The sequence below is a fragment of the Homo sapiens genome, chromosome 12 (assembly GCF_000001405.40).
Source record: "Homo sapiens chromosome 12, GRCh38.p14 Primary Assembly".
Taxonomy (NCBI): domain Eukaryota; kingdom Metazoa; phylum Chordata; class Mammalia; order Primates; family Hominidae; genus Homo; species Homo sapiens.
Window position 1 is genome coordinate 17,010,290 of NC_000012.12, and position 22,300 is coordinate 17,032,589.

Sequence of the window (22,300 nt, forward strand, 5' to 3'; positions counted from 1 at the left end):
TTGGATCATAATCTTAAAAGACACAACCCCAAACACCATAATCCTGAATGTTGAAATCTCAAAAGGTCGAAATTCCCAACAGTCAAAATCCCTAAAGTCTAAAGTTCCTAACATCTAAAATCTCAAAAATTACTATCCCAAAAGATTAAAATCCCAAATGTTGAAATCCTGAAAACTGAATTCCAGGAAAGAGGTTCGGATGGTTAAGGTTGTATTCAGGTTAGTTGCATCATGTTAGGCACAACTATTAAATTATTATTGTCTTTATTTGTTTTTGTTTTTAATGTTTCTTTTTTTATTTCAATAGCTTTTGTGGTACAAATGGTTTTTGATTACTTAAATAAATTGTATAGTGGAGAGGTCTGAGATTTCAATGCTCCCATGACCTGAGTAGTAGTGTACATTTATTCAATATGTAGTTTTTTTTATCCTTTATCCTCTTCTCCCCTCCCCACCTACTGATTCTCCAGTGTCCGTTATACCACTCTGTATGCCTTTACATACCCATAGCTTAGCTCCCTCTTCTAAGTGGGAACATACAGTATTTGGTTTTCTCATCTTGAGTTATTTCACTTAGAATAATGGCCTCCAGCTCCATCCAAGTTGATGCAAAAGATATTATTTCATTCTTAGTTATGGCTGATTAGTATTCCATTGTATGTGTGTGTCTGTGTGCGGGTGTCTGTGTGTGTGTGTGTGTGTGTGTGTGTGTGTGTGTATAAACACATTTTCTTTATCTACCCATCAGCTTATGGGCACTTAGGTTGGTTCCATTTCTTTGCAATTGTGAATTGTGTTGCAACAAACATATGTGTGCAGGTGTCTTTTTTATATAATTTCCTTTCCTTTGAAGAGATACCACTGGGATCCACTGGGTGAATCCAGCTGGGCTCCTGAGTCTGGTGGGGACTAGGAGAACCTTTATGTCTAGCTAAGGGATTGTAAATACAGGAATCAGCACTCTGTGTCTAGCTCAGGGATTGTAAATGCACCAGTCAGCACCCTGTCAAAACGGACCAATCAGCTTTCTGTAAAACAGACCAGTCAGCTCTCTGTAAAATGGACAAATCAGCAGGATGTGGGTGGGGCCAGATAAGGGAATAAAAGCAGGCTGCCCCAGCCAGGAATGGCAACCCGCTTGGGTCCCTTTCCACACTGTGGATGGGTGGTTCTTTTGCTCTTTGCAGTAAATCTTGTTGCTGCTCACTCTTTGGGTCTGCACTGTCTTTATGAGCTGTAACACTCACCTGGAAGGTCTGCAGCTTCACTCCTGAGCCAGCGAGACTATGAACCCACAAGAAGGAAGAAACTCTGAACACATCCAAACATCAAAAGGAACAAACTCCGGACACGCCAACCTTAAGAACTGTAACACTCACTGCGAGGGTCAGCGGCTTCTTTCTTGAAGTCAGTGAGACCAAGAACCCACCAATTCCGGACACAGAACCATCCCTGCATCCCTGGGATGAAACCCACTTGATCATGGTGAGTTATCTTTTTGATAAGCTGTTGGATTCAGTTTGCTAGGATTTTTGTTGAGGATTTTTGCATCTATATTCATCAAGGATATTTGTCAGCAGTTTTCTTTTTTTTTGTTTTGTTCTTTTCTGGCTTTGGTATCAGGGTGATGCTAGCTTCATAGAATGAGAAAAATTCAATCAGTAATATAAAAAAAATTATCACCACCACCAACAACAAAAATAAAAAAGAACGGAAGATGGATTCACAGCCAAATTATACCAGTAGTTTAAAATAATCTTTTGTTCTACTAGGTCCTACCAGTAGTACAAAAGAGAAAGTACTAGTAGTTTCAAATGGAAAAAGTACTAGTAGTTTCAAAAGAAAAAGTACTAATAGTTTCAAATAATCTTTTGCATTTCCGTGGTGTTGGGAGTAATGTTTCCATTTTTATTTCTATTTTAGTTTATTTGAATCTTCTCTCCTATTTTCTTGATTGATCTAGTGAATGTTGATCAATTTTGTTTATCTTTTCAAAGAACCAGCTTTTTGTTTTATTGATCCTTTGTATTATTTGTGTGTTTCAATTTCATTTAGTTCTGCTCTGATCTTTGTTATTTCTTTTCTTCTGCTAGCTTTGGGTTTGGTTTGTTCTTGTTTCTCTAGTTCCTTGAGGTGTGACATTAGGTTGTTTATTCGTGATCTTTCAGACTTTTTGATGCAGGCATTTTGTGCTATAAACTTTTCTCTTAACACTGCTCTTGCTGTATCTCAGGGGTTTTGACAACTTGTGTCACTATTATAATTCATTTCAAAGAATTTTAAAATTTCAATCTTGATTTTATTGTAAACTCCAAAACCACTCAGGAACAGATTGTTTAATTCGCATGTATTTGTGTAGTTTTAAAGATCCCTTATGGAATTTATTTATAGTTTTATACTCCACTGTGGTCTGCAAAGACACTTGATATGATTTTGATTTTTAAAAAAAATTTATTGACTTGTTTTGCAGCCTATAATAGGATCTATCTTAGAGAGTGTTCCATATGCTAATGAGAAAAATGTATATTCTGCAGTTCTTGGGTCGAACATTCTGTAAATTTTGTTAGGTACATTTATTCTAGAGTGCAGTTTAAGTCCAGTGTTTCCCTGCTTACTTTCTGCCTCGATAATCTGTCTAGTGCTATCGGTGGAGGATTGAAGTTCCCTATTATGACTGTGTTGCTATTTCTTTTCTAGGTATAGTAGTAATTGTTTTATAAATTTGGGAGCTCCAGAGTTAGGTGCATGTATATTTAGGATTGTAATACCTTGTTGTTGGATTGATCCTTTTATCATTATATAATGACCTTCTTTGTCTCTTTTTACTGCTGTTGCTTTAAAGTCTGTTTTATCTGATATAAGAATAGCTACTCCTGCTGGTTTTTGGTTTCCATTTTCATGAAATATCTTTTTCCACTCCTTTACCTTGAGTCTATTAAAATCATTACATGTTAGGTGACTCTTGAAGACAGTAGATATTGGTTTGTAAATTTTTAATCCATTCTGCCAATCCCTGTCTTTTCAGTGGAACATTTAGACCCATTTAAATTCAATGTTATTAATGAGATATGAGGTTCCAGTCATCATGTTGATTGTTACCCAGATACTTTGTTTTCTTCATTGTGTTACTGGTTTTTGTTTGTTTTTTAGAGTAAAGGGAAAGTAAGTTTATTGGGAATGTAAAGGAATAAAAGAATAACTACTCCATAGGCAGAGCAGCTGTGTTATTGTTTTATAAGGCTTGGGAATTTTATGCTTTCATGAAGTTTTATTCTGGTGCATATCAATCTTTTGTTTCAAGATTTAGGTTTTTTTTTTTTTATCATTTCCTATAGTGCTTGTTTGGTAGTGACAAATTCCCTCAGCATGTGTTCATCTGAAAGACTATTTATCTTTCATTTATGAAACTTAGTTTTGTTGGATACAGAATTCTTTGCTGATAGTTATTCTGTTTAGGGAGGCTAAAGACATGACCCTAGTCCCTTCTGGCTTGTAAGGTTTCTACTGAGAAGACTGCTGTTAATCTGATAGGTTTTCTTTATAGGTAACCTGATGCTTTTTATCTCACTGCTCTTGAAGTTCTTCACATTGGCTTTAGATAGCTTAATGGCTATATGCCTTGGTGATGTCCTTTTTGCAATGAATCACCCAGGATTTCTGTTGTACTTAGATGTCTACATCTCTAGCAAAGGCAGAGAAGTTTTCCTCAATTATTTCCTCAAATGAGTTTTCCACACTTTTTGATTTTTCTTCTCCCTCAGGAACAACAATGATTTATATGTCTGGCTATTTTACATAATCTCATATTTCTTGGAGACTTTATTTCTTTCAATTCTTTTTTCTTTATTTTTGCCTGATTGGGTTAATTCAAAAGTTTTGCCTTTGAACTTTAAAAAGCTTTCTTCTACTTGGTCTGATCTATTGTTAAAGCTATCTGCTGCATTTTGTAATTACCTAAATGTTATTTTTCATTTCCAGAAGTTTTTATTGATTTTCCTTGAAAATATCTATCTCTATAGAAAGTGTGCGTTCATATACTGATTTTTTTTCATTTCTCTATATTAGTTTTCACCTTTCTTTTGTATCTTTTTGACTGACTTAATAATCAACTTTTAAATTCTTTATCTGGTATTTCAAAGATTTAATCTTGGTTTGGATCCATTGCTAGAGAGCTATGTGTTCTTTTGAGTATTAGAGAACCCTGTTTTGTCTTACTGCCAGAATTATTTTTCTGGTTTATTCTCACTTTGGTTGACTATTTTTTAAAAAATATTTTTAAATTTATTTTTGTTCAACTGTGTTTTAAAAAGATTTATTTTTCCCCCTCAAAGATGTGAATTTAATAATTATAGTTTATTGTAACCTAATTTAGCTCTGGTTGCTATTAGGGGTGAAGAGTCATTAAGAGTTCCTTGATTATGTTCTCTGTATGATGACTTTCTCAGATGCTGATTGTGGTAGCAATGTGCTTGGTGTGTGTGCAGCTTCTCTGTCTTCTGTGGAGTTGTAATGCCAGAAGTCTCTTGAAGCTTATCTTGTTCCTCATTGGTTTGCATTTTTTATTTATTTACTTTTTCCCCAGTATTTTATTTACTGGATAGAACAGTTCAGGCTTCAGGCTGTAGAGAAGGTGTCCTAGGGTAAAAACTAACTGTGGCTAAAGTAGGTGGGTGAATGCAATACCCAAGGGTGGACAGAGATCCCAGCCTTGACAGAGTAGCTGGGGGAGCTCTCGGTGAAATGCACTGAAGTCTTTTCAGAGGTAAGTGAGGGAGCCACTTCAGCTCCTCTGCCAGGCCGGGAGGAAAGGAATTGCATCTTCCAGTTACTCTCTTGACCCAGTGTTCTGGCTGTTCAGCTCAGACAGGCCCCTGTTTTTCATCTGCAGAAATTCTGATGTTCATGTTGAGGAGTTGTGGTTCTACCCCTTATGGAAGCCTGAACCTGGAGGCCACTCCTCCTGTGAGGATATAGTCACCCTGAAGTGCTCCACAAGGGCTGTCCATAGATGCACCCATGCCAAGGGCCCATGGGAAAATCCCCAACTATGTCTGCAGTGGTCAGCAAATGGAAAAAGAAGTACCATTTTCCAAGATCCTTCATGAGCACCAGGGCTGCTTGACTGTTAGGGTATAGCCATGAACTTTGCTAAGCACAGTGCTGCATCTGTGCCTCTACTGAAAGAAACTTCCCACCAAGAAAGTTCTGGGGCTGAATTTTTTTATCCCAAGGGTCACTTACTCCCTTGATGTGGGTGCGCTCCTCCTTACCCTTGGAGTAGGAGTCCTTGAAGGCCAGACTCCTGTGAATCCTGCTACTCCTTTGATCCAGCCATCCAGTGAGTGTCACTCTCCAGGCTGGTGCTGGGGAATGTCTGTGTGGGATCCAGTGATGTGACCTGTCTGCAAGTCCCCCAGCAGTGGTTAACCAGTACCAGCTCTGATGGGTGTGGCAGGGGAGTGACAGACTCTGTGAAATTCCTTGGTTATACATAGCCTTAGTGGGTTGTCTTTATCAGATGCCATTTGTAGTATTAATGAACTGGTCACAGGAACAGAGTCAGGACCTCCTGATTATCCAGGGTGCTATAGGCAATGGTGACAGCTGAGGTCACCCCACGAGGTTTCTCCTTCCTGGGCACTGTATTATTATATCTGCAGATGCTGTAATAGGCTGTGTCAGTTGGCCTCCAACCAGGAGGCAGCATTTGCAAAGGAGCATCAGCTGCAGTGGTAGTGGTGGGATTTGTGCTTGCCTTATGTTACCCAGTGGAGGTACTCTGCTGTTTCAGGCAATGGGCAGGGCCATAAAGCTCCCAAAAGTTTCTGTTCTTTGTGTTAAGCTACCAGAGTGGTTAGAGAGGCAAAGTCAAGTGTGGGCTGGTTCAGGCCCATTTGCACTCTGGTTCTCTATTTGTGGGTGCAAGCAGTGGCCTCAGTGGTCATCAGAGGGCAGTTCTCTGGTTGCTGAGGTAATGCTCCAAGGAGGAGTGCAGCTGCCTCTGATGCCCAGAAGAGTCTATACAGGAAGTAGGGATTAGTAGGCAGCAATGAGCCCCACCCAGCTCCCAGGCACTTGTCAAGGCAGGCCTCTTACCCACAGTGTTCTACGGGCTGCAGCTAGCTAGGTTCCAAATAGTTTGCACTCAGAACTCAAAACTGCCCCATGGAGACAGAAACCACAACTTTTAGGCCACGCTTCTCCCCGTGTGCCTGCAGAACAACGGTGCCTACCTCTTGCACCAATGGCTATTGTGCAGTTCCTACTTACTCCTTTGTTCTGGCCAAGGGGGTTCATCCCCATGCAAGATTATATTGTGAATCTCATTTGGGAGCTTCTCTCAACCTGTGACTGCTGTCTGAGTAAGCTGGCAGACTTCCCTGAGGTCCTCTGTGAGGTAGGATCAGGAATGGCTTCTCTGCATCCCTACTGGAGGTGGGGAGGAGTGCGTGCAAAGCATATCCAGAGCTTCTCCTTCTCATATTGTCCCCTTCTCATATCCTCGCCACTGCTTACTAAATCAGCTTCAATGCTGAGTACGGTTAAGACCTTTCCCTGTGGATTGAATTGCCAGTTTTCCCAGCGGGAGTGTATGTGCCAGAGGCAGTTATTCTCCTCTCACACTCTGGGACTTTCAGTTTTCCACCTGTATCACAGTGTAGGCTGTAGCCCGCTGCTTATTTCAAAGGGTCTGCAGTTTCTTTCAGTTTCCGTGTTAAGTTCCTGTGTTGCTTCTTGGAAAAAAGTTCACAGTGTGAATCACTATACACTGTTTTGTTTTTCCAAGTAGGGAAACATGCTAACGGTGCTTCCAATCTACCATTTTGGAGGAAAAAGCCAAAAAACAACTATTATCTTTATTTAGAAATTGAGTATTGTTTAAGGAGATGCATTTGAGTGCCTAGTTGACAACGAGTGGACTTGTGGACTAAATTTTAAATGAAAACTTGACTGGATTAAGGGATGCCTAGAAAACTGATAAAGTGTCATTTTGGGTCTATGAGGGTATTTCCAGAGGAGATTAGCGTGTGAGTCTGAGTGGACTAGGAAGGAAGACGTGTCCTTATTGTTGGCTGGCACCATCCAATCGGCCAGGGACATGGAGAGAACAGATGCAGAAAGATAATTTGTCTCTCTCTCAGAGCTGAAATGGAGTTTTCTTCTGCTCCCTTAGACATCAGGAATTTGACTCCACAAAAGTGCATTATCACAATGTTGACTTTGTGTGTAAGCATTGTGCATGTAGGTAAAAAGCTAAAACTTCCTCAGTAAACAAAGAGATGTTCTTTTCGTACATCTACATTTGTGAAGATATGATTTCTGAAGATCTCTGCCCTTTGAGTGATGGCATATGTGGCGGTGACTCATTGTGGGTTTTGGATCAATCTCATCAAAAGACTTAGGTTGTCTGTCATGGTGTTTCAGACGACTGCAGTTATAAAGCTGGGAGCACAAAATTACCAATCATAGAGATACATGTTTATACATTTACTTGCTGACCTATTTCTTTATGAATATGATTTGTCTGTTTATAACCATCACACCCATGAGATTGTTTTTAGTATACCTGAGCATTTGTTTGCAAAAATATGTATATTATTATCGTCCATTTTATTGTGTAAAGTAGCCTATAAAGTGTTCTGTCATTTTTTTTTTTAATGTTTGTTTTTTGAGACAGAGTCTCCCTCTGTCGCCCAGGCTGGAGTGCAGTGGCACGGTCTCGGCTCACTGCAAGCTCTGCCTCCCGGGTTCACGCCATTCACCTGCCTTAGCCTCCCGAGTAGCTGGGACTACAGGCGCCCACCACCACACCCGACTAATTTTTTGTATTTTTAGTAGAGATGGGGTTTCACCGTGTTAGCAAGGATGGTCTCGATCTCCTGACCTTGTGATCCGCCTGCCTCGGCCTCCCAAAGTGCTGGGATTACAGGCGTGAGCCATGGCGCCCGTCCATGTTCTGTCATTTTTATACAACTGTCAAATAAATCACCTCTTAAAAGTATCTTTGTATCTATTTTAAAATTATTTCTTCCGGAATTACATTTTTGGGATTTCGATCTTTCAGGATTTCAACATTTATAATTATGGTAATCGAGACTGTGTCTTTCAGGATTATGATCAGCTGCTGAATTAATGATATGTGAGGTGAGTTGATTTGCAGTGAGGGTTACTTGAGAAGAAAGGAAAGCAGTTATTCCATTTATTTCTCTAATGATTTAAAGGTCTCCAAAGAATGTATCTTATTGGTGATTATTTTTCATTTCTACTTCTCTCTTTTAGTTCTCTGAAAGACAGTTCTCTTTCTGATTCTCTTATGAGTTTGAATATGATAGTCAGATAAAGAGCCCACAAAGATAAAAGTGGCTACGGTTTACAAGTCATATGTGGCCCTGCTTATTGGATAGGTACATTGTCATAGGTGAAGTATTTCCATCACTCTCATTAACCACATTAAATTTTGGGCTGCTGATTAGGAGAAACTGATAGGCTGTAGTCACCTCATAGAATCTGGTTTTTATGATGGTTTTCTCATAAGTTTTTTAATGGAAATGAACATATTGCTTCTATCAGGTGAATAGTAATACTTAATACCTCTGAATCAAGGGTCCACAAACTATGAGCTACAGGCCAAATCTGGCCCAACACCTGTTTTTGTAAACGAGTTCTGTGGCAATAAAATAGGATTCTTTTATATAGCATCTATGGCTGTGTTGGAGCTACAGCAACAGAATTGAGTAATCGCAACAGACATCTTATGGCCTTCAAAGTCTAAAATGTATAATATCTGACTTTTTAGAGGAAAGTTTTCTGACTGCTGGTCTAAAGCAGGGATGATAAGCTAACAGCAATCAATTGAATGTCATTATTACAGTGACTAATGATGTCTGTGATGGGTGAAATAATAGGCTATGGGGACATTTAGGCTAGATATTTGCCATCCTTTGTCTAAAAAAATAGTATTTCCTTAATAATTACAAACTGAGTCAAAGAAAATAGGTCAGTTAATTTCCTTTTCCTTAAATCTTTGAAAGAGCTAAGCATAGTGACACATTTTAAAATAATATAATTAGGACAAAAAAATCAATTTGTTGCCTTTCTCATGATTTCTTGACTACCATGAACCATAAATGATAGATGTGTTTCCTCCTTACTCTAAAATTTGAGCAAAATGCCTTTCTAGTTACTTTTTATAAAGACATGGCTTTATGAATTAAAGAGCCAAACACTTCTTTTCCTGTCTGTCTGGTGCCACAATCTATTTTTTTTCTCCCACTTCTTACAGAGGTGGACATTGGAAGAAAAGTGATAACATGACAGAGTGGAATTAAGTATATATTTTAAACATCCTGTCTTTACCGTTTTAAAAGCATCCAATACATCCAGATAACCTTGTATTGAGAATGTGCAAAAAAACAAAACAAAATAGAACTGCAGCATTAGACAAGAACAGAATCCTTCAACCCTCTATCACGGACCCCCTGATACTTTCTTCATTCTCTGGAACATTGCTTCTGTAGGTCTTCTTCAGCATTTCTTGCTTGTTGACTTATAGGACTCAGGTTCCCTGCTTTATTTTTTTGATATTCACTTTCTGGTCCCCTAAAGGTAGGCTGCAGTTAAGAGGCATCCCTGCTCTCTTCCTAGCCCGGTAAACTGATCTGGGTGGGCTTCTACTTGATCTTCCCATGTGTTAACCTCTACTAGACAGACTGGCATTCAGAAGACCTAGCTTTAAGAGCAGGCGGTACAATTAATTATTTCTGTGACTCCGACAGTTCTCTGAAATGTAGTTTTCTTATTATTACAATGAGGACGTTTGCTTAGACAATTTAATTCAAGCTTTGAATGATTCTCTTTGTATCTTTCTCTACCTTCACATCCAAGAAGTTTCTGAAAGAGATTTCAACCCATAGCAGCAGCATATGCTTTGCCAGAAGCCTGAACTTTATTGTCTTCAGGACTCACTTCCCCTCACCATTTTTAATTTTCTCTTTACTCAACCCACTTTACCCATTCTCCCTCCTTCCTCCCTGTGTCTCTCCCTCCTTCCCTCCCTCCCTTCCTTCCTTCCCCCTTCCTGCCTTTTAATGAAAGACTCTTTCATCAGCTGTTATTTAAGAACTGCATCTCATTGAATATTTTATCAATCAATTTTAACTCATAAATACATCAAGCTTGCAGTTAAGGGGCTCATGTTATAACCAGTTATATTAGGACATCACTTTTGAGAATTCTTTTAAACAAACAATAAAAGTGTTTTGAAATATAAAATAATGCATTTGTTACATTTCACATTGCTAGATACATCTCTGCAAATGGAGGCAATGTATTTTTAGGAACACTTTTGTTTTTCTGTTCACTGATGGGTTATTAAAGTTAGTACATGGATTTAGATGTGATTCCACTGGTTTGCAGTCTATCAGGAAAGGCTTTGTGGTACATTAGAAGTATGTTCAAGGAATGTCATCTCACTACTTCAAGGGGCTTTTCTTTAATAAAAAGGGCAATAGAGATCAAACTAATCCACTGAATTTGCATGTTTTCTCCTCACATTGCTGAAAACATCTATTCAAACTAGCTTCAAACTAGAGCAATTAGGTGGGTAATTGCCCTAGTGTGAACTTAGCCTTAAAAGCTTATTCTATGAAACTAGAGTAATTAGACTTACTTCTTCTGTCTTTTTTTCTTCACCTCATTGTTCTCATGCATTAGGCTAATGTTGCTTTGCTTGGGTTCACTTCAATGCAAATGAATGGAGGCTGGGGATGGGGGAATAGAAAGGTGTAAATGGATAGGAAATCCAGGGGAAAAAAAAAAGCCAGCTTGTGACAGCAATCATGAAAAACATTTGCATTCTAATAGGGCTTGTTAAACAGCATTTTAATTAATCTGAAATTTGCAACATACCTGCTTGTCACTATCCTTTGTAATGACTAGTTTATGTTCCTAAAATAGATATACAAAATACCTCGTTTTGCCAGATAATTTAGCAATGCTTGGCTATATCAAATGAATCTTAGTTGCTAACGGGATAACAGTTTTAGTTGTTTTTTCTTTGCTTTAACATGTTATAATCATCCAAAGGGAACATACCAGGTCAAGTGTTAACAATATGTGCGTTGCAAAAATAAAAGTTAAGATTTGCCATCTGTTCAAAAAAGACACCATTACATTAGATGTTTTTTACAATTTCTTTTTAATCCTAATACTTTTTTATTATTTCACTTTTTTAAAACTATAGATACACTTTGTGTACCAAAATTATAATATACAGTTAAGGAATCAGAATGGAAATATTGTAAGGCAATACAGCATACTTTGGGGCAATATTTAAAGTAGATAAAGTATAATTTGGAGGGATATGTTCCAGGGGTGTAAATTTAGATTTGGTGATGGCATGTGCAATGTTATACGCATTAAATATTTGTTCAGTTCCATAGATTGTATGATTAAACCCACAATGTTGTTTCCATGTTTACATTTAAAATGCCAATCAGAAGTGTTATTTGGGTCCTGACTCTCAAGTTCTTACTTCATGCCCCCTATACCTTGTGCCACATTCTAGGTGATATGCAGTGACTTCTTGAGATTTTGTGATTTCTTTCATGCACATCCGTGTTAAGAGACCATCAAACAGGCTTTGTGTGAGCAACATGGCTGTTTATTTCACCTGGGTGCAGGCGGGCTGAGTCCGAAAAGAGAGTCAGCGAAGGGTGGTGGATTATCATTAGTTCTTATAGGTTTTGGGATAGGCGGTGAAGTTAAGAGCAATGTTTTGCGGGCACGGGTGTATCTCACAAAGTACATTCTCAACAGTGGGGAGAATTACAAAGTACCTTCTTAAGGGTGGGGGAGATTACAAAGCACATTGATCAATTAGGGTGGGGCAGAAACAAATCACAATGGTGGAATGTCATCAGTTAAGGCTATTTTTACTTCTTTTGTGGATCTTCAGTTACTTCAGGCCATCTGGATGTATACATGCAAGTCACAGGGGATGCGATGGCTTGGCTTGGGCTCAGAGGCCTGACATTCCTGCCTTCTTATATTTATAAGAAAAATAAAACAAAATAGTGTTGAAGTGTTGGGGCGGCGAAAATTTTTGGGAGGTGGTATGGAGAGAGAGTGGGCGATGTTTCTCAGGGCTGCTTCAAGCGGGATTAGGGGCGGCGTGGGAACCTAGAGTGGGAGAGATTAAGCTGAAGGGAGATCTTGTGGTAAGGGGTGATATTGTGGGGATGTTAGAAGAAGCATTTGTCGTATAGAATGATTGGTGATGGCCTGGATATGGTTTTGTATGAATTGAGAAACTAAATGGAATAAGAGAAGGAGAAAAACAGGTATAAAAGGTCTAAGAATTGGGAGGACCTAGGACATCTAATTAGAGAGTGCCTAAGGAGGTTCCGCATAGTCCTGCCAGCAAAGATTATTTATTTACTTCAGGAGTTTAGAGCTGCATTTTGGGGATAGCACCAGGAGATATCATCTGTGATGGCTTGGAGAAACAGTGTAAACAAGAGCAGGGCATGTATGAGTAGTTGAGAACGGTGAATAGGAGTATGACTAGACAGAAGATAATAGGGATGACAAGTTTTTTTGGGGCACAGTCTAACTAAGTTGGTCTGGTGTCTGGAATGAGACTGGTGCCTAATAAAAAGGAGCGTCTATACAGGAGCTTAAATGGGCTGTACCTTATAGCATTCTGAGGACAGGTCTGACTTCTGAGAAGGGAAAGTGGTAGAAGTATTGTCCAGTCCTTTTTAAGTTGGTAGCTGAGCTTGGTGAGGTGTGTTGTTAAAAGACCTTTAGTCCATTCTACTTTTCTTGAAGACGGAGGACCGTAAGGGATATAAAGGTTTCACTGAATACTAAGAGCCTGAAAAACTGCTTGGCTGATTTGACTAATAAAGGCTGGTCTGTTTTCAGACTGTATAGAGGTGGGAAGGCTAAACTGAGGAACTATGTCTGACAGAAGGGAAGAAATGACTGCGGTGGCCTTCTCAGACCCTGTAGGAAAGGCCTCTACTTATCTAGCGAAAGTGTCTACTTAGACTAAGAGGCATTTTAGTTATCTGACTCGGGGCATGTTGAGTAAAGCTAATTTGCCAGTCCTGGGTGGGGGCAAATCTTCAAGCTTGATGTGTAGGGAAGGGAGGGGGCCTGAATAATCCCTGAGGAGTAGTAGAATAGCAGATGGAACACTGAGAAGTTACTTCCTTGAGGATAGATTTCCATGATGGAAAGGAAATGAGAGGTTCTAAGAGACGGGCTAGTGGCTTGTTCTATAGCATAGCCTGCCTTTGCTGGTAGGTGGCGATTAGGCCTGGTGGAACTGCCGTCAATAAATCAAGCGTGATCAGGGTGAGGAACAGGAAAGAAGGAAATATGGGGAAATGAGGTGAATATCAGGTGGATCAGAGAGATACAGTCATGGGGGTCAGGTGTGGTATCAGGAATAATGTGGGAGGTCAGATTGAAGTCCGGGCCAGGAACAATGGTAATTGTGGGACTTAACAAAGAGTGAGTACAGCTGAAGGAGCCAGGGAGTGGAAAGTATATGCGTCAGGTATGAGGAAGAAAGTAGATTTTGGAAGTTATGAGAAATGTAGAGAGTGAGTTGAGCATTGTTTGTGATTTTTAGGGCCTCTAAAAGTATTAAAGCAGCGACAGCCGCTGCATGCAGACATGAGGGCTAGGCTAAAACAGTAAGGTCAAGTTGTTTGGACAGAAAGGCTACAGGGTGTGGTCCTGGCTCTTGTGTAAGAATTCTGACTGCACTAACCATGCCTAGGAAGGAAAGGAGTTGTTGTTTTGTAAGGGATTGAGGTTTGGGAGATTAATGGGACACGATCAGCAGGGAGAGCACGTGTGTTTTTATGAGAATTATGCCAAGATAGGTAACAGATGAGGATGAAATTTGGGCTTGACTGAAGTAATGGGGGCTGTCTGTGAAGGTTTGCGGCAGTACAGCCTAGGTAATTTGCTGAGCTTGATGGGTGTCAGGGTCAGTCCAAGTGAAAGCGAAGTGACGCTGGAATGAAGGGTGCAAAGGAATAGTAAAGAAAGCATATTTGAGATCTAGAACAGAATAATGGGTTGTAGAGGGAGGTATTGAGGATAGGAGAGTATATGGGTTTGGCACTACAGGGTGGATAGGCAAAACAATTTGGTTGATAAGGCGCAGATCCTGAACTAATTTGTAAGGCTTGTCTGATTTTAGGACAGGTAAAATGGGGGAATTGTAAGGAGAGTTTATAGGCTTTAAAAGGCCATTCTGTAGCAGGCGAGTGATAACAGGCTTTGGATTGGGAAGAAGGGCAGCAATGAGATGTAGCTGTAGTCCAGGAATAGTGAGGGAAGCAGATAATTTAGTTAAAGTGTCTCAGTCTAATAAGGGAACTGGGCAGGTGGGGATAACTAAAAAAGGAGTGCTTAAAAGAGTATTGTCTAAGTTGGCACCAGAGTTGGGGAATTTTAAGAGGTTTAGAAGCCTGGCCATCAATACCCACAACAGTTATGGAGGCATGGAGGCAAGGGAAACAGGCCCTTGAAAAGAAGGTACTGTGGAGTGGGTGGCCTCCATATTGATTAAGGGGACAGACTTACCTTCCACTGTGATAGTTACCCGAAGCTCGGCATCTGTGATGGGCTACAGGGCTTCTGAGGCGATCGGGCAGCATCAGTCTTCAGCTGCTAAGCCGAGAAGGAGTCAGTCAGAGAGCCTTGGGCCGGAGTTCCAGGGGCTCTGGGAGTGGCTGCCAGGTGAGTTGAACAGTCCGATTTTCATTGGGGTCCCACACAGATGGGACATGGCTTAGGAGGAATCCTGGGCTGCGGGCATTCCTTGGCCCAGTGGCCAGATTTCCAGCATGTGTAGCAAGCTCCTGGGGGAGGAGGTTCTGGAGGAACGCCTGGCTGCTGTGGTTCAGGCGTTTGGAAGTTCTTGTGTGCTGGAGATGTGGCTGGGGTTTGTCTCACAGTGGAGGCAAGGAATTGCAACTTTTTTCTATTATTGTACACCTGGAAGGTGAGGTTAATTAAGTCCTGTTGTGGGGTTTGAGGGCCAGCTTCCAATTTTTGGAGTTTTATTTAATGTCGGGAGCAGATTGGGTAATAAAATGTATATTGAGAATAAGACGGCCTTTTGACCTTTTAGGGTCTAGGGCTGTAAAGCGTCTCAGGGTTGCTGCCAAACGAGCCACGAACTGGGCTGGGTTTTTATATTTGATGAAAAAGAGCCTAAACGCTATCTGATTTGGGATAAAGAAAAGGAGCATTAACCATGACTACGCCTTTATCTGTAGCCACCTTTTTAAGAGTAAATTGCTGGGCAGGTGGGGGAGGGCTAGTCACAGAACTGTAAGCCGGACGGAGTGTGAGGAGGGGAGGTGATAAAAGGATTATAGGGTGGAGGAGCAGAGGCTGAGGAAGAATTGGGACCTAGCTCAGCCTGGCGAGGAGGGGAGAGGTCAGATGGGTCTGTAGAAGAGGAAGATTAGAAAGACTCAGTGACGCTTGGGGTTGGGATTGAGGGGACAGGCGGGAGGGAAAGAAGGAAGATTTGGGATGAGTTGCATTGGGCACAGAGACTAGGAAGGGACCAACATGTAAAAGAATGCCTGGACATCAAGCACCTCAGACCATTTGCCCATTTTACGACAAGAATTATTTAGATCTTGTAGGATGGAAACATTGAAAGTGCCGTTTTCCGGCTATTTGGAACTACTGTCAAGTTTGTATTGGGGTCAAGCGGCATTGCAGAAGAAAATAAGGCATTTAGGTTTTAGGTCAGGTGTGAGTTGAAGAGGTTTTAAGTTCTTGAGAACACAGGCTAAGGGAGAAGAAGGAGGAATGGAGGGTGGAAGGTTGCCCATAGTGAAGGGGGCAAGTTTAAAGAAAAGGAAGAGTAGAGACATGGAGGGAAGTAGTTCGGGGGTTCTTACCCTCCAGAAAAGTGGGAAAGGGGTCAGGGTGTGGAAATAAGGGATTAGGGTGCAGAGATAAGAGGTTGGGGTGTGGAAATAAGGGATCGGGGGTTCTTGCCCACTACAAAAGCGGGACTTGCCACTAAGGGTGAAGGAGAAGGGGTTGAGGGGTACTTGTCCCTCCCCCAGAAAAGCAGAGAAGGGGTAGAGACATGGAGAGAAGGGGTTGGGGTACTTGCCCCTCCCCCAGAAAAGTGGGACTTGCCACTAAGGGTGAAGGACCAAGGCAGGCGTCCCTGTGTGGTCTGACACCTTTGAAATGTGAGTGAATAATCAGAGAGGCATTCCTGAAAAGATTAAACACCAAGGGAAGGCTGCCTTCCCAGTCTGTGACTGGCGCTGGAGTTTTGGGTCCACGGATAAAACGTGTCTCCTTTGTCTCTACCAGAAAATGAAAGGAACTGAAATTAAGAGAAGGGAGAGAGTGAAGTGTGGCGCCAAGACTGAAAGGAGAAAGAGGTTGAGGGATAGTAAGGGAAGTTAGAGGAGAGAGTAAAAAGAGGCCACTTACCGGATTTGAAATTGGTGAGATGTTTCTTGGGCTGGTCAGTCTGAGGACCTGAGGTCATAGGTGGATCTTTCTCACAGAGCAAAGAGCAGGAGGACGGGGGATTGATCTCCCAAGGGAGGTCCCCCGATCCGAGTCACGGCACCAAATTTCATGCGCGTCCGTGTTAAGAGACCACCAAACAGGCTTTGTGTGAGCAACATGGCTGTTTATTTCACCTGGCGGCAGGCGGGCTGAGTCCGAAAAGAGAGTCAGCAAAGGGTAGTGGATTATCATTAGTTCTTATAGGTTTTGGGATAGGTGGTGAAGTTAAGAGCAATGTTTTGCGGGCAGGGGTGGATCTCACAAAGTACATTCTCAAGGGTGGGGAGAATTACAAAGTACCTTCTTAAGGATGGGGGAGATTACAAAGTACATTGATCAGTTAGGGTGGGGCAGAAACAAATCACAATGGTGGAATGTCATCAGTTAAGGCTATTTTTACTTCTTTTGTGGATCTTCAGTTACTTCAGGCCATCTGGATGTATACATGCAAGTCACAGGGGATGCGATGGCTTGGCTTGGGCTCAGAGGCCTGACAATTTCTTCCTCCAAAGGCTTCATCTTCATATATATACATGTAAATGGGCCATGTTCCTATAACCAGGCCCACTTTTTCTGCTCAGGTGTACATGTTGCCCTTTTGTTGTTGTTTAGTTGTTGTTGTTCTTTTAGAGACAGAGTCTCACTTTGTGGCTCAAGCTGGAGTGCAGTGGCATGATCCTGAATCCCTGCAGCCTTTGCCTCCTGGGCTCAAGCAATCCTCCTATCTCAGCCTCCCGAGTAGCTAGGACTATAGGGGTGCACCACCACGCCCAGCTAGTTTTGTCTATTTTTCATAGAGATGGGGTCTCAATAGGTTGCCCAGGCTGGTCTTGAAAGTGATCCTCCCGCCTTGGCCTCTCAAAGTGTTGGGATTACAGGTGTTAGCCACCTTGCCTGGCCTTAGCCCAATTCTTTTGCATTGTTGCCTTTGTTTTTCACCTGAATAAATGTTCTCAGCAATAGTAGTGATGATTTATCTCAGTTTCTACACCTTCAAGAAATAACTGTGACATCCAAATGAAAGGCTAAAAGATGTGATATTGATAGGGACAGAAGGCAGGGAAATTCTAGACAGAAGAGGGCAGGTCCCTGGTGAGGGCCCCACCCTCAAGCCTAGAACCAGTGCCCAACGGGAGAACTTACATCTCTGTTTTCCTGCTCAAATGTTGCCTTTCCAAAACCACCCATGGCCCGCACCACCCCCCATCCTGTGCCCATATAAACCCCAGGCTCGGCCAGCAGAGAGAGTTGGGAAGCAGCTGGGCATCAGACACTACGGTTGGATATCAGAGAGAAGCAGCTTGACTTCAGAGAGATGGCTTGGCCTTATAGCTTTGGAGAAGAGTCTGGCTGGCGACAGCCTGACTTCAGGGGAAGATTACCTCCCAACCGCTCTGTCCCCTTTTCAGCTTCCCTTCCCTCTGAGGTCCACTTTCATCAGCAATAAAATCCCCCACATTTACTGTCTTCAATTCATTTGTGTGACCTTGTTCCTCCTGGATACTGGACAAGAACTTGGGTGTGGGTGCAGAAGGCTGTCACACTGACCCTCCACTGAGCTGTTAACACTTAAGCCATCCACAGACAACAAAGCTAAAAGAATACTGACTGTAACACTCCCCTCTGGGACTTCTGGGGTCATAGGCAGTCGCCACTAGATGCTGCTGTGGGGCCAACACAGAGTTTTCCTCCTGCTGGCACCCAAAAGTGCTCACCCGGGCTTCTGCACCCACTCACCTGCATACTCCCCATCCTGAGAGGGGTGAAGCACAGAGGGTCTGAGTGAGTGGAATTCGCCCCTGCCAGCGCCAGAGTGGCTGGCTAGTTCCAGTGCCCCTGCACTCCAGTTTCTGCCTGCAAAATGGCCAGGGTAATGTCCTACTTCAATGTTAAGCCTCTATTTTCAGAGTCATCTTTTTAGCTTTTCCAAAATTGAAAAGGAAAGGTTTGAGAGAAGCACATACTCAGGTTTAGTTTATTAATTAGAGTGGAAAGAAATACCTGAGTTCCCTTTTTCTTTTAGCTCTGTGTCCTGAGCTAAAGCACTGCTGTACTGTTAGGGCAGACTACTCCCACTCTTGAATGAGTGAGGTTAGCTTCTCACAGCATCAACACATTCATTTTCCACGGCCAAATTTTCCTATAATGCCATGAGGTAGATACATATTAAATTCCAGTCATTCTTTATGGGAGATGGAATAGGAAGCAGAAAGAGCCTGCACCTTGAGTTCAGATGTGACTTACTGGCTGAGCAGGTTTGAAAGGGTGGTGCTTACCTTCTCTGAATCTAATTTTTCTCACCTGCATAATGTAGTCAACGATACCTATTTCCTAAGTTTGTAGTGAGGGTTAAATGAGATGATATGCAAAGGCTGTAAACAATGCCTGTTATTTAGCAAAGTCATAAAGGGTAGTAATTAAATGTATAATTCTCCAAATACTAGGGCTGATCTCACTGTGAAATCCCTGAAGGCAGGGATATGGAAATTCTTAGAATCTCTGGGGCCTATCACTGTCTTGACATATGGCAAGAACTCATGCATTTTTTTCTGGAAGGGTGAATAAATGAATGAGTAGGTGAATGCAAGAATAATTACTTAGAATGCTAAAGCCTGCAGAAATACTACCATAGATCAATGAACATGTAAACAGTTTATACTCATCAATTCCTATTATCTACTTGATGTTTGATAAAACTGACACTGTCATATGGAGGAAGGAGAGAATGAGAAAGGTCTTGAAAAAGACCCAAGAAGTCTGGCTCCACCACTAACTGTCTGAGACAACTTGAAACAAACCTAAATCTGTCTAGGATTTAAATTTCTCATGTGCAAAATAAGAACTCGCATAAAATGATCTCTAGCATGTCATCTACCCCTTCCTTCTAGAGTTTCATGAAGTTCATCACTTCGAAGGGTGCCAAAGTTTACAGTGAGAATGTACATCAGGGATTTAGGGGAAATTAGTCTTAATTCTCCTAACTCCTACTCTTAGATCTCTAGTCTCAACCTCTTTTATGAACAGATTTCAACAAACAGATTCACAAGATAAATAAACAAACATGTAGGAAGACAGAGACATTTTGCATATGGATTTAGTTTTAAAGGAAACCGGAAAAATAGAATATGTTTAATTAGCACAGATTCTGAAAAAATAAATGTGTTAATTAATCACTTGTCTTGATTACCAAAAGGTCATACCCATATATGCAACAACATGTAAACCAGAAATTCAAGATATTTTCCCACCTAGCTCCTCATTTGAAAACCTATTCCAAGCTTCTATTACAACTTTCAGAAGATGTATACATTGAGATGTAAGGGTCCTGATATTCTTTTCACATTAGCTTGAGAATTATTCCAATATTGTGGTGTTGTGAGCTTAAAAAAAAGTATGTTGACTGCATTTCATTTCTCTTGTTCAGAATATAATTACTCAATTATTCTGTCTCAATTTGCTTACTTTCCTTTATTATTGGCATATTGCTCATGTGACCATGTTACTGGGGAATGAGAGCTTCAGCAACTTTAACGATCTCATCCAAAGTGAGATAACCTAATTTAACAGCTGTAGTAGAACAGGAAAGCAGCAGGACACCAGAAAAAAGGTTATACAGTGGGAAGTTCATGCTGGCAAATACCAATTCACACCTGTTTTAGGCCTACAGACAACATCAGGGGTGCTATTTAAATGGACTCTGTGTGCAATTTATCCATTGTTTGGAGTCATTGAAATGAACTACACTAATTCTCCTCCTTGGAAATTGTTCCAATTAAGTGGATGCACCATTTATCAGGGTGCTGATTAAGTGGGTTTAATAGCAGGCAGCAAAGAAAGGCTGTAAGAAAAATCTATGAAAGTGATATTCACACTTTCTAAGGTTCTGCTCACACTCACTAATGTCTAGTGTTATATAACCATTCTACAGAAAAATGCAGCAGAAACTAGGGTTAAAGTGTTAAGGAGATAATTAAATTCTTCCTTATAAGTACATTGAGATTTCAAATGTCAACATGAGGAAAGGTAATTTTTGATTGAAACTACGTGCTGTTTTTGGTATTAGATATTTAAATCTGTAATTTTTCTAATTCTAACAAAACTTTACATCAGAGAAAAGAGTGACATTTTCTCTATACAATTGACTTTATTTGGAGACTACAATCTACCATAAGTCAATGAATGTTAAGTGTTAATGATCTAAACAGGAAAAACATAGATTCTATGCAATCTGACATTATAAATAATCAAACTTTTATTTTTCTGTTCCATGTTAATGTTAGTTTTAAAAAATTAACATTTTAATTTTTATGCTGATTTTTTAGGCCTGTTATATTTTATATTCTAAATATCCTGACTTCCCATGATATTTCTTAAAAACTAAGCATCAAATGACACATTTTTAAAGAATAAGCCAATTACTTTTTAAAAACAATGACTAATAAAAAATAGTGAACTAAAATATGTAAAAATTTTACTGAATTGTAAAATATAAAATGAAGATAGCAGTTTCAAACAAGAGGTTTAATTTACTTTTATTATACTATAATATTGTTTCACAATAATTATTTTTATAGAAGTCTGAACTTTTCTAAGTCTTTCTACTGAAAAGGAGTTACACAGTCTTTGGTAGATTGGTTAAACTATGATAAATTTGGTAAAATAAAAAATTATAAGGGAAGATTTTAAGAAAGAAATTTAGACTTATGCTTAAATTTGGCCCTAAAATACTAAACCAAAGAAAGTTTGAAATGCAATAACAGCATGTTAAATAATGAATCATTTTTAAGTTACCTCCAGACAAGGTAAGGTAAAACAAGTCTAGGGCCACAAGCTCTATACAAAACAACCCTATCAAAAAATTTTAAGCTTATCTCCTTTCCAAGCTGCTTCCTCTGTCAAGGGCTTGCTATTATTTTCTAGAAGTATTTTTAGGAGCAAGTCTTCTGTTCAGTCTATAACTGTGAAAGGGCAAGGGCTTCCTCTACTTGTAAGCTAACATGTTAGCTTGCCACAGTTTCATGGATGTTGGCAAAAGACATAAGTCTCCTGGGTCAGAGACAAAGGATACATTACTACTCATAGAATAGAAATAGCCACATTATTATATTTTTGCTCTGGTTCCCTGATCCCTAATTCCTACAGAACAACATCAAGAAGGCTGTCAGTTAACAATTGCACTCACAAGTAGGGTTCACGAGAGGGCTTCTGCTTTCATGGACTCTGAATCCTTTACACTGCACCATGAATATGCCTTCTCATTGCTTTAGAGGGAATCATTGATTCTGTTTCCCAAGGCTGTAAATCTGCCCTTTGCTAAAAGGAGAGATTCTATCATAATGCTCCATGGCTGTTCACTATACAATTACCCTTTAAATGATAGTCCAGAGCAAAGAGCAGTCAGATCATCTTTCGTCTGCTCACAAGATATGCAGAAACACAAGAGAATTGTCTCTCAAGATTCAGTACTGCAAATGAAAGCAAGTGACTTTGTTATAGGAATACTCTAATCTCCTCTAATTTGTTACTTAAAAAAATCATATGCACAATTCAGGATTCTCATTATCAATGCATTATATGTTGTATATGTTAGAAAGTATCATATAAAGTGTGTCAGAGCCTAATGACTGGAAATTGACATCATGCGACATGTGCAAATTTTTATATGCAAAGTTGGCTTACATCCCTGAAGATTGAGGAAATTGTGACACATATGAGAATCCTT

The 22,300-nt window shown here is 40.4% G+C and overlaps 4 annotated features.

The window, feature by feature from the left end:
• Window positions 8,488-11,553: an enhancer, noted in NCBI's record as "VISTA enhancer hs1532". NCBI's record gives its function as "enhancer in: forebrain[11/11] | eye[8/11]" and the evidence as "EXISTENCE:transgenic organism evidence [ECO:0001131][PMID:17130149]".
• Window positions 12,262-12,804: an enhancer, noted in NCBI's record as "H3K27ac hESC enhancer chr12:17175485-17176027 (GRCh37/hg19 assembly coordinates)". NCBI's record gives its function as "activates a minimal SCP1, AML or CMV promoter by ChIP-STARR-seq in primed H9 embryonic stem cells {active_cell/tissue: H9 hESC(primed)}" and the evidence as "EXISTENCE:reporter gene assay evidence [ECO:0000049][PMID:30033119]".
• Window positions 14,348-14,849: an enhancer, noted in NCBI's record as "H3K4me1 hESC enhancer chr12:17177571-17178072 (GRCh37/hg19 assembly coordinates)". NCBI's record gives its function as "activates a minimal SCP1, AML or CMV promoter by ChIP-STARR-seq in primed H9 embryonic stem cells {active_cell/tissue: H9 hESC(primed)}" and the evidence as "EXISTENCE:reporter gene assay evidence [ECO:0000049][PMID:30033119]".
• Window positions 20,023-20,524: an enhancer, noted in NCBI's record as "NANOG hESC enhancer chr12:17183246-17183747 (GRCh37/hg19 assembly coordinates)". NCBI's record gives its function as "activates a minimal SCP1, AML or CMV promoter by ChIP-STARR-seq in primed H9 embryonic stem cells {active_cell/tissue: H9 hESC(primed)}" and the evidence as "EXISTENCE:reporter gene assay evidence [ECO:0000049][PMID:30033119]".